The sequence below is a fragment of the Homo sapiens genome, chromosome 5 (assembly GCF_000001405.40).
Source record: "Homo sapiens chromosome 5, GRCh38.p14 Primary Assembly".
NCBI lineage: Eukaryota > Metazoa > Chordata > Mammalia > Primates > Hominidae > Homo > Homo sapiens.
The window spans coordinates 880472-891889 of NC_000005.10; the positions used below are offsets into that span (position 1 = coordinate 880472).

Below are 11418 nucleotides of genomic sequence, written 5' to 3' on the forward strand. Positions count from 1 at the left end.
GCTGGGTGAAAGACCACCAGCAGGCATGAGGGTGAGAGCGAGGGAAGCAGGAATCTAGAGGCAACCCGTGCCAGGCTGCACGTTCCTCACGCGAGCCCGCGAGTGCGTTTCAAACCCAAGTGATCACACTTTCGTTCAAAGGACAAGCCTCTTAATTACTTCCAGGCCAACAAAGTGCCCCTGACGGGCTGGACAGGCCTAGTGTGCACCATCCTTCAACACTGTCCTGACGTCATCATCTAACAGCTCTTCTAAGACTGCTTTCCAGATTCAAGGAGCAGGGTGGGCCAGCACTCTGGTCTTTGCTGAAGACTGAGCTCGGGATGTGAACCCTTCCTGATGCTAGTGAGGTTTGGCCTTAAAGGCCTCTCGGCAGCTTTTCAGGAACATGGCTCGAGTCCCGCTGCTCCCAAGGAGCCCTGACCGAGGTCTGACCAGCACCCCCGCCCCGCGAGATGGCCGTCCACACCTCCACTCAGCGCACGTGTCACGTTGGGGTGCGAGCAAGGTCGGGAAGCCGGGCAGCCTCTCATGCTGCCCCATGGCCATGGCTCAGCTTTTCATTACAGAATATCAACGGAGGCCCAAAAAGCAGTGTACGGAGAGCATAAAGCCAGCCCTGAGCGGGCACCCACCATCAGCGTCCGGCTCGGCCGTGTTGACCACGCTGTAGAGCAGGCTCCCGTCCCCGTTCCTCTTCAGATAGCCCATCTGGAAGGAAGCACTGCCTGAGCGTCTGTCCCTCAGGAGGGGCAGCGCAGCACAAATGAAATGAAGACCAACAAGCAGGGCTTAATGGGGGTGAAAGCACATTTGTCCAAGAACAAACGCCAGAGGGCCCCTCACGGCATTCCCTGGAATTTCAGACTCACCGGCAACAGCAGAGCGCGCACAGGTGCCAAGGAGAACCTCTTAGGCTCCCCATGGCCCTGCTATAGGGGGTACAGCTGAAACAAAAACCTTCACCCACGAGTAAACATTTAAAATTGCTCATGAGCCTTGACAAAATGGAACGGTCAGCAGGTCAGCATGGCACTGCCCTGACGGCAGGCGGCTCCAGCCCTCAAGCATGTGTGGACTGGTTTTCATTTAAAAACCCACCACCCACACCCCAGTTCTGTGTACAGGCCATCAGGAGGATCCAGGAAGAGGAGGCACTGGTGTGTGCAGACTTGGGGTTCAAGGGGGAAGAGGGCTGTCATGCAGCGGTTGGCTGGGCTCCAGTGCAAGGGTGACGTCCATGCGCTGGACATCATGCCATGTCAGGGCAGCCACCTGGCCTGAGAAGAGCCGGACGTTTGTGTGGGGGCAGCTCCCCACCGCGGATCCATGCAAAGTCTCAGAGCCCACAGGATGGCCAGGGCCCTGGGGGAGAGGCGGAAGGTCAGCTCAATGGGACACGGAGTTGATACGAAGATTAGGAGACAAGTCCTCACGGCGCAGATACAAAACTGAAAGGGAAGAAGTGGGCGGAACCCACGGGGCACGAGGGAACTGGAAGTTTCCGTGTAAAAACAGTTTTCAACCCATGTAAACACAGGTGCCAACAGAATCCCTCTGCACAGTGTCCATGTATGTGGTGCAGACACACACAACAGGCATCTCCCAGCTCTATCTGCAGAGGGCTTCACCCAGAACCCAGGTCCTGGCTTCTACACAAGGCTCTCTAGTCAAGAAACCAGGGCTTCTTGGAGAATGTGGCAATTCCAGGGCTGAAACACAGACTGCAGAACAAGGCTGTCCAAAAGAACTACAGTGCAAGCCACGTAGACCACAACCTCCAGCACACAAGCCACATAAACAACTTCCCAACACACAAGCCACGCAGACCACAACTTCCCAACACATGAGCCAAGCAGACAACCGCCCAACACGTGAGCCACGCAGGCCACAACCTCCAGCACACAAGCCACATAAACAACTTCCCAACACATGAGCCACGCAGACCACAACTTCCCAACACGTGAGCCAAGCAGACAACTGCCCAACACGTGAGCCACGCAGACCACAACCTCCCAACACGTGAGCCACACAGACCACAACCCCCCAACACGCAAGCCACAAAAACCACAACCTCCCAACAGATAAGCCACACAGACCACAGCAACTTTCCAACACACAAGCCATGCAAACCACAAACTCCCAACAGGCGAGCCAAGCAACCGCCCCACACGTGAGCCACGCAGACCACAACCTCCCAACACTTGAGCCACACAAACCCACAACCTCCCAACACATAAGCCACACAGACCACAGCAACTTCCCAACACGCAAGCCACGCAAACTGCAACCTCCCAACACACGAGCCACGCAAACCACAGCAACTTCCCAACACATAAGCCAGAGACCACAGCAACTTCCCAACACACGAGCCACGCAGACTGCAACCTCCCAACACACAAGCCACACAAACCACAACCTCCCAACACATAAGCCACGCAGACCACAGCAACTTCCCAACATGCAAGCCACGTGAACCACAACCTCCCAACACACAAGCCACGCAGACCACAACCTCCCAACACACGGGCCACACAGACTGCAACCTCCCAACACGCAAGCCATACAGACCACTGCAACTTCCCAACACGTGAGCCACGCAGACCACGACCTCCCAACACGTGAGCCACGCAGACCGCAACCTCGCAACACGCAAGCCACACAGAGCACTGCAACTTCCCAGCAGGCACAGGCAAAAAGCAGCAGACACCTCTGAAATGCCCCCACTTCAGCGTTCTTTACATCCCATCCCATGTGCATTTTGAAGACTTAATATGAAAAAAACCCATAAAGCTCAAATTAACGTTTTCTACAGACTACATGTTGAGATAAAATGTTGGATATAGAGGTGAAATGAAACCTGCAAGGATTAATGTCACCTGCATTGCTCTACTTCTCTTATCAGGGCTGCTAGGAAGCCTGAGACTGCAGACAGCCTGTGCTCTGTTTCCACTGAAGACACTGGGTCTAGAACGTCTCCTGCCAGAAAGGAGAGCGTGGTCAGCTGAGTGGGCCCCACCACCACAAAGACCATCTGTGGCAGGAGCCACGTGAACACAGTCGGTGGCCTATTATGGACCATCTGTCGGATCCAACACCAGCACCCCCACTGGAATAACAAGGGCGGTGCCTCACGTCAACACCCAGTGACAGAGACACAGAAGTCAGCATTCACTCCAAGAGAAAGGATTAGCCTGCAGCAGGGCCTCCATCAAGGAAATGAGGTCAGTGACCACGTGGCCTCCACGATGCATGAAACACCAGCGGCAGCCCTGCCAGAGGCACCTGGACCCCGACTGAAGAGACCAGCCTTATGTGTGTCTGATCCGGACCTCCCGTCAGGGCCCCACGCTGACCTCTGGATCCCGGTGGCTGTGCTAGATCACACAGCACCAACCCAGAAGGAGAGGCACACAGAGAGTCTGGGGCCACGTGGCACCCTCTCTCGGTGGCCACAGAGCACTACCTTGCCGCCTGGGAGGAACCGGTTGATCCTGTCCCGAGCTTCGTCAGCTGCGTGCTCCACCAGCGCCAGCACGTGCTCCTCTGCGGTACTGTCCGTCAAGCTGCAGGCATTCCCTTCAGGCTCAAACATGCAGCTGTGAGGTGGGGACAACCAAGTCACCTGGAGGCAGCGTCCCCACCGCACACCTGCTCCCCATGCGTCGGCACCTAACCCAGCTTCTACCGACCCTGCCCTCAGACACAGAGCTGGCAGAGCATACTTAACTCCTTTTAGGTCTCAAAGCATCCCTTTTCACCCTAACCAAATGACAAATTAAGACACTTTTATTAAAATAAAGGGTAAGTGTAAGCCAAGTAGACAGACTTCCTATTTTTCAACGCAGTGCAAACTCAGTTAAAGTGCTTTAGCAACAAAAGCAACAAAGTAACAGATGCCCACACTGGTTAGTTATTAAAGGCCCCATCAGAAAAGTGACTGGAAAAGCCACCCCTGACTACGCAGGGTTCACAGCAAGGCAGGATAGGCGGGGCTGCTCGGGTGTGGTCTGGTGCTGCTGGGCTGGGTGGACAGCAGCCCCCTCTGCTGTGGCCACTGGGTGGCACAAAGAACACACAAGGACGTCAGCAAGTGGTCCCAGGTTCCACCTGAAGCAGTTCTCCAACAGCTGAGGGGCACAGGCTGTAGCACCCAAGGAGTGTGGAAGGTTCTAGAAGCAAGCGAGTGGGCTCCTTCCCACCCTGGGCACTTGCCTGGGCATGGGTCTGAGTGGCCTAGGGCCAGGTGCAGGCCCAGGACAAGCCCTGCCCATGAGAGCGGCCCTGCCCTTGCCTGACCTACAGTGACAACCTGGCAACCCTACACAGGAGTCACAGCCCCATGAGCTCCGCAGGGAGGGGCTCCACTCAGGCACCTGCGTGAGCCCATTACCGATGCGCACTGCTGTGACACTAGGTGAAGGTGACTGCCTGAGCTCGGCACGCTCTCCTGCCTGCAGACTGACAGCTGGGGATCCATCTAAAGGGCCTGGATCCCACAGGCAAGGGTGAAGCTGCAGCACCAGAGACACCCAAAACCAACCTGGGGTGGGTCTGCCAGGACACAACCCCACCGCAGCTGAGCATGCTGACCAGCACCAACTTCAATTCCCCCTCGATGCTCAGTCACCATGAGGCGGCAAAGGGCGGCCATGAAACCCCGACCCCTGAAGGCCAGCAGCACACTCGAGTCGGGGGCTGAGGCCGGACACAGCCACCAGCCAACCACGCAGTGAGTGTTCACACGGCAGCGGGGTGGGAAATGCAACGCACGTGGGGAGACCGCCTTAGGGGACTGTCGTCCGTTGCCAAGCAACACACTCTGGCCACGCAGCGCACCCTGTCTCCTAAGCCAAGGCTGCAGGACCTGAGGGGCTGGTCTCAAGACCACTCTCCCTTTTGACGGTTGGAGGGAGCTGCTCAGAGCAGAAGCACCGAGCCCAGCACCGCTGCCGCCCCACCTGTTAAATCCACGTGAGTCCCATACACATGTGAGAAGGAAACAAACAATGGAGGGCCGTGACCATCACAATTGCCTCAAGGACGTTCAGTACCAACTCCAGACGGTCCCTGACTTCCCACAAGATGGCACAAAAGCAATACACTTCAGCAGAAACCATCCTTCAAATCTGATCTGTCCCCAGGATGGCAACAGGCCAGTCCTCTCAGGATACTGGGAAGACCGCGAGCCACAGTGCTGTCAGACACACGGCCATGAGGGTGGATGTCCTGAGACTGCGCTCTCTGGGGCCTGCACTCAGCAAGTGACACGTGATGAAGCAGGCTCTGTGCCAGGCGCTTCTGCCCGCTGCAGGCTATGTTAAGTGCTCTTGGTGCCTCTAAGGCCCCTGGCGATACTCTCGCTTTGTTTGGTCCTATCAGGCAGCCACCTCACATAGGTGGAGGAGCGTCTACAGGAATGACGTGTGATACGGACTTTGATACAATCTCAATGCTCAGCCACCATGAGACAAAGAGCCCCCATGAAAACCACTCTGGGGTTTAGAAAAAAAGGAAGAAGGTTCCCTGAAGGACCAGCCAAGTCGGCTGCTCCCTGTGGGAGGGAGCAGAGCTACAGGGAGCTGTGGCCTGCAGTCCTCACCTGCTTCCCCCGCAGCATCCACACCTTCCTGACCACAGGCCTGCACCTGCTCCACTCCAGCGTCTACACAGACACAGAAGCGAGCAGTTCAGGAGTGTGCATCTGCCCCACAGCAACAAAGAAGCCCCCTGCCAATGCTGGCTGCCCAAAGTCAGCCCGCTTGTGCGGCACAGTCTGGGACAAGGGCACAGCCTTGGCTGCCGGCAGGCGCTGTGCAGGGGAGGGAGGGGCCAATGATCTTAACGGCGTGTAGAGACAGAGACCACCAGTCACTAGCAGTTGGGGGCAGGGGTGATCGGACGGGCTTGGGTACCACACCTGGGTCAGAGAGTGCACGTGGCCGGTGGGCAGGAGGGGCTGTCTGGCCACACTCCTCCTGCCAGAATAAGCTACACCAAGAATGTCTATGTGACATGACATCCGTTCTCTCACTCACTCACTCTCCCCTACAAGGCACCTGCTTTCCTGGCTATGGTGCTCAACTCCAAAAGCAAATGTGGTTTCCACAGAACCTTTACCTGATAACTTCTCTACTCGGCTTTTTGGATTTCTTGGCAGTTTCTACTTGTACTGGTACAACTTCAGGGACAGGTTCCTCAACAGCTGTATCTTCATTGCCCAAAAGAGCTGCCTGCTGAGAAAAATCCATGTCCTGCATAAACGACATGCTGCGCTTCAAAGCTAACAGCCGCTCCTAGAATCAGAAAGGACAGAGCAGCAGGGATTTACCTCTCCCTCACAGCCAGGGTGCCGTGACGATGGGATGGGATGGGGATGGTCACAGCCTCACCTGGCCTAAGAGCTAACTTTCCACGGCGGAGCAGCGGGAGGTGGTTGTGGGGGCTTGACCCACCGCCAGAGCGCGGCAGGTGCCGCACCTCCCCTTTACCTTCTCCTACGTGGGATGCATGCAGCCTGGCTCACGGCACAGATCTGGGAAGCCACTCAGGATGGCCAAGGAAGACAAGGATGTCCCGTCTGGATTCAGTGAGGCAGTCACGCAAAACAAGCCCGCAATGCTGGCTGCCATCCAGCAAGACTGACACCTGACACCCAGGCTTAAGATCAAGAGATGCGGAACTTTCCACCAACCCTCAATGAGATGTTACAGCTAGGTCATGAGCAGAGAGGGCGGCCGGGGACGTCTACCCTAGAGCAAAGGGGGCAACACCATGAGGGTGGCGGGTGGATGGAGCACGTGTTCACTGTGAGGCTCCCTTCGGGCACAAGCGACGGGGGGCAGAGCCCCTGCTTTCCGTAGCTCGCTGCTGCCAGTGAGTTTCTTACTTTGCTCATCATCTTAAAGCCTGCGTGAAGGATCTTCTTCGCCAACTTGTAGTACACGGTATCTGGCCTATTGTATGTCATTGCATTATCACACATCAGCTTGAAATCTGCCTGAAAAGAAAACAGGAAAGACTTATCAGGTTTGAAATGCCACAGACAACAGCAAAGCTCTAGATGACTACCAAGAGACCAAAAGGAAAAAGCTACAATCGAGTAGAAAACAATTCAACTGGGCTCTCTGATCTAAACATAACGTTTAAGAACTTAAGAGAAGTTTTCTTAGTTGCACATTGGTCTTGCATGAAAAATATTACAGCAAACAGTTGGCCAAGCCTGTAACTTCTTTCTAAGCATCACATACAAATGCTGTGTGAGGAAAAAGCGTTTCCTGCGCTTCTTGCATTTCTCCAGAACATAAACAGGAACGAGAAGCAACGACCCGATTCTTTCAAGTGCAAGTCAAGGGATGAAGGCAGGCGTGCGGCACAGTGATAGCCTCTATCTCTAGAATTTCTCCACAGAATCGAATTTAAAATTCTGTCACCAAATGGTTCCCTCAAACTACTAGAAAAAGACTTTGCCCCACAAAAGGACAACCTTATTTTGTAATTTATGGTGAAAATACGGAAGCATCAGTATTTTATTATGAGAGGCCAGTTTCCTCAGCACAGGCCTCTCAAAGGTGAGTACCAACGTCAGGCTGGAGCATGACCCCGGAGGCCGGCCACCCTAACTGAGAACGTGCCATCTGGACCCTCCCCAAGTCCCGGTTCCAGAGCCAGCAGCCCTAGGGCCCGGCCCGAGGCTGTGGAGCCCCTCCCCTGAAGACTCCACTGCGGACACTCCACGGAGTGAATGCTGCTCCCCTTCTCACTTTGTTGCTAGGAATGGCCAGACTGGGGCCCGAAGCAGGGAATACAGAGGGCTTTCGGGCATGGAGTGCTCTTAACATCTACCCTCAGGCGCTGCCTGATCCTCTCATCGAGTTTCCTTTTCTCCCACTCTCCTTTAAGTCTGTTCTGTTGTGTTTCTGTGAGTCAGCAAACCCTTCAGTAAGCATAAAATAGAAAAGTCAAGCTTTCCCCAGGGGAATGGAACCTAAGAGAGAAATCTAATGCCTTTCTAAACTACACTAATGCCAACTTTATCAAGCATTTGTTTTGCTTTCTTCCCCTGGGTTGCAAAACCAATGAGCAGTTGCTAATTCTCACAGCCAGTAGCAAGAAACAGAGCTAAGAGCAAAGTACTCAGGAGACAGAAAAACTTACTATGCTAAAAAAACTAAATGCTCAATTAGTGTAAGACAAAACTAAGAATTAAAAAGAAGTATGTTTTTAAAAATGTCTAGTCTCAAGCCGTGCCACACCGGACACCTCACTGCTTGAAACAACATGTCCTATTTACGCCAGCGCAGTAACTTAGAAAGAAAAGAAACAGACTTCTAACAGCGTGCAACCTGACCTAGTTTCTAGACCAAAGCACAGAGAAAACGTTCACGACCAATCATTTCCTTAATGCTGTGTCTGTAAAACATCATCCGAACACAGAAACACCTGTGAAAGCTCAAAAACTAGAAATGATCTAAGGTGAATGAAGTCTTCACAAGACATGAATACACAGAACTATGCCACGATTACTTCGGGCAATGAAAGTAACTTACCTTAAATTCCGTAACTGACTTGTATTCATTAGCTACAATTTTGTCTTTCATGGTGCCAAAATCCATGGGATGTTTTATTATCATTGAATATCCAGGAGCAATTGCATCCGTGACAGGAAAAGCAAAAAATCCATGGGGATCTTTTCTGAAAGCAAAGACATCTTAAAGCGGAAAAATCTAGATTTCTAAATGATACAAAATCTCTTACAATCCAAAAATTGGATACAACTGACCGAATTTTGTTTCTTAAAAATAAAAAAGTTACGAGCGTCTTTTAATTTATTGTGATAGGTATTTCAGATATAATAAAAATTCCCCCAACGCATCCTGGCGGCCATCAATGTCCCAGCTCTAGCCTTGACTTCCCTCACTCTACTCTGACTTCAGAGTGAGCCACTAATGAGTTCATGAACTCTTCCTACGCACCCCGAAGTGGACTGGGAGTCACCAAGAGAAGGTGCAGGGTCTGTTTCACAGCTGACGAGGCTGGCGTGGGGAATAAGGCCTCAGAAAAGATGACACCACACCCCCCCAGACACTAGCTCTTCAGAAACGCCCCGGTTTACCTCTGAAGCTGGCGGAGGAAGTGTTCCAGGAGTTGCTGAATAGGTGTGCTCTCATTTTCGGCTGACAATTTAAGGAAAAAAAAATTGAATACAAGACTTTGGTATCCCTTCATTAGAGAGCTCCAAGTTCACAGTATCTGTCTGTCTGGTGTCTCACAGCATTTTAAGTTCCACCGAGAACTGGGGATATAAAGATACATCCGACTCAGCCTTGGCTCCCACCAAGCTCAGCCGGGTAGAAAGGGCACCCCCACAGCAGGAGTCATAAAAATCTCTTGTAATAACCGGTAGCCCTTACATCAACAATATGTGGTGATCACTTAGCAATGTTTTCAGCTCATACCACTACTCTAGACAAGAAATGGACGACGGAACAAACGCTCTGGACATAAAGGTTGATCCTGAATTCACCGATTATTATTTCACTTGAGGTCCCTTAAAATTCAACAAAAAGTAAATAAATGGCCGGCGTGGTGGTGCGTGCCTGTAGTCCCAGCAACTTGGGAGGCTGAGGTGGGAGGATCGCTTGAGCCCAGGGTTATCTGAGCCCAGGAGTGAATCACGACACTGCACTCCAGCCTAGGCGACACAGCAAGACCATGTTTCAAAAATAAATTAAAAAAAGAAAGTGCCTGAAGAGCCAAATGACCACAGGAGCTCAGAAGGCCACCAGCTTTCCAGAACTTTCCTTCAGTGGAGCCAGCAGGCCTCAGACAGTTTCTGACGGCCTGAATGATCGCAGCACTAGCCTCCCCACTCCCTGATGTCCCATGTCCCAAAGCCCAGCCGTCTGTTTCCCTATAATCCAGGAACCACTGGATGCTGAGAGTTGCTGGGAAGAGACACCCCTTGTCTTAGGTACAAATGCCTCATCACTGTGAGTTGTGCACAGGAAGGCTGGGGACAAAGAGAACTCAGAGGGCAAGTCCTTGTCAACTGGAAATTCCAGCCAAATGCCATCCTTCGCAGATGGTGCCCACGACAGAGATTCTACTAAAGGCCTCCAGCTTCCTTTGTCTCAGCCTATGGTCACTTTCAGCAACTTCAGACCCACCATTTGGGCCTCGAGGTCCCTTCTTCCCAAGGGGAATTACCTGCGTTTTCACTGACATGCATCTCTCTTACCAGTCTGACCCAGATGGGGCTACTGTTCCAATACTGTCTTAAGTGCAAACAAAACCAAACTTCAAGACCCAGGGCTGGCAAACTTTTTACATAAAGGCCAGACAAAAAACAGTCTAGGCTTTGCGGGTCACATACGATTGGTCTCTGTGGAGATGCCTTTTTGTTTCTTTTTATGAACGCTTAAAAAACATATAAGCCATCCTTAGCTAACAAGTTAAAAAACAAAACTGAAGGGCACCAGTGGTAACTGGCCACGCCTTGCTCTAGACATTCAGAGACACCGGAGGAAACCTCAGGCCAGAGGACACCTGGGATGAGGCCCTGGAAATACCAGCTCTCCTCCCTCCCATGCTTCTCCCCAAAGCAACAGGACACGGTGCCGACCCCTCATTTACAACGATGAGCTGTGAACACCAGGAGAGTCTCTAAAAGTGCACCCTTGCCTGGCTGTGTCCGGCACGCTCGGACTGGCCGATCTGGGGGCGGCTCCACCTCCACCTTCTTCCCAGGATCAAAGTCGTCAGCCTCTCCCTCCGTGTCACAGTGCTCCCTCTCTCGCTTCCGCTTCTTCTCTTCCTGGGCGGCAGAGTCAAGGGAGTGAGAAAGGCAGGAGTAGGCGGGATCCGGACAGGTCTGCCCAATCCCCTCGCAGTTCTCAGGGGAGGGACAGAACTAAGGGAAACCCCCTCCGAGATCCTCCTCATGCCAGGCTCCCTCCTCACAGAGACCCTGGCAGGGTCTGCTGAGGAACAGCACACCCAGGATCCTGGAACTGAGTCTGCGGGCCTCAGCGGTTCGCGTTTTGCTACCAACGGAACACCCCCTCCCCTCCTCCAGCCACGCAGGCGCACTCTGCCTGGGTCCTGGGACCAGGCTCCCCACGGGCTCCTCGTGGGCAGCGTCCGGGCCACCGCCGCTGCTCCTTTACCTTTCGCTTCCTTCTTTCCTCATCGTCCAGATGCTTCTCCTTCTCGGACTTCTTCTTCTTCTTCTTTTTCTTTTCTTTGTGCCTCTCTCGCTCATGGTCTGACCTGTCATCATAGTAACTGGAGTCGTGGCCGGATCCTGAGAGTTCAGTCACTTCACTTCCTCCGACCTTCAGGACTAGCTTTAGAGGCTTCTCCAGGGGCTTGTCGGCATAATCTGCACAGACACAGACCGAGTTCTACCCGCGTGCT

The 11418-nt window shown here is 53.1% G+C and overlaps 1 protein-coding gene across 25 annotated transcripts in view; it reads right to left on the minus strand.

Annotated features, from left to right (window-relative positions):
* BRD9 (bromodomain containing 9) overlaps positions 1-11418 on the minus strand; it is a 29061-nt gene that overhangs the window by 16731 nt on the left and 912 nt on the right. For 6 of the 25 annotated variants that reach the window (NM_001375877.1, XM_024446200.2, XM_047417600.1 and 3 more), the window contains exons 2-9: positions 11169-11383; positions 10684-10816; positions 9116-9176; positions 8550-8694; positions 6890-7000; positions 6121-6296; positions 3467-3599; positions 636-711 (exon numbers count right to left, since the gene is read on the minus strand). In NM_001375877.1, coding sequence (NP_001362806.1) covers positions 636-711; positions 3467-3599; positions 6121-6296; positions 6890-7000; positions 8550-8694; positions 9116-9176; positions 10684-10816; positions 11169-11383 — 1050 coding nt within the window. Of the gene's footprint in view, positions 1-635; positions 712-1275; positions 1366-2895; positions 2980-3466; positions 3600-5602; positions 5666-6120; positions 6297-6889; positions 7001-8549; positions 8695-9115; positions 9296-10677; positions 10817-11168; positions 11384-11418 lie in introns of those variants that run through there. The other 19 variants (NM_023924.5, XM_024446198.2, XM_047417602.1 and 16 more) reach the window with 13 other exon arrangements.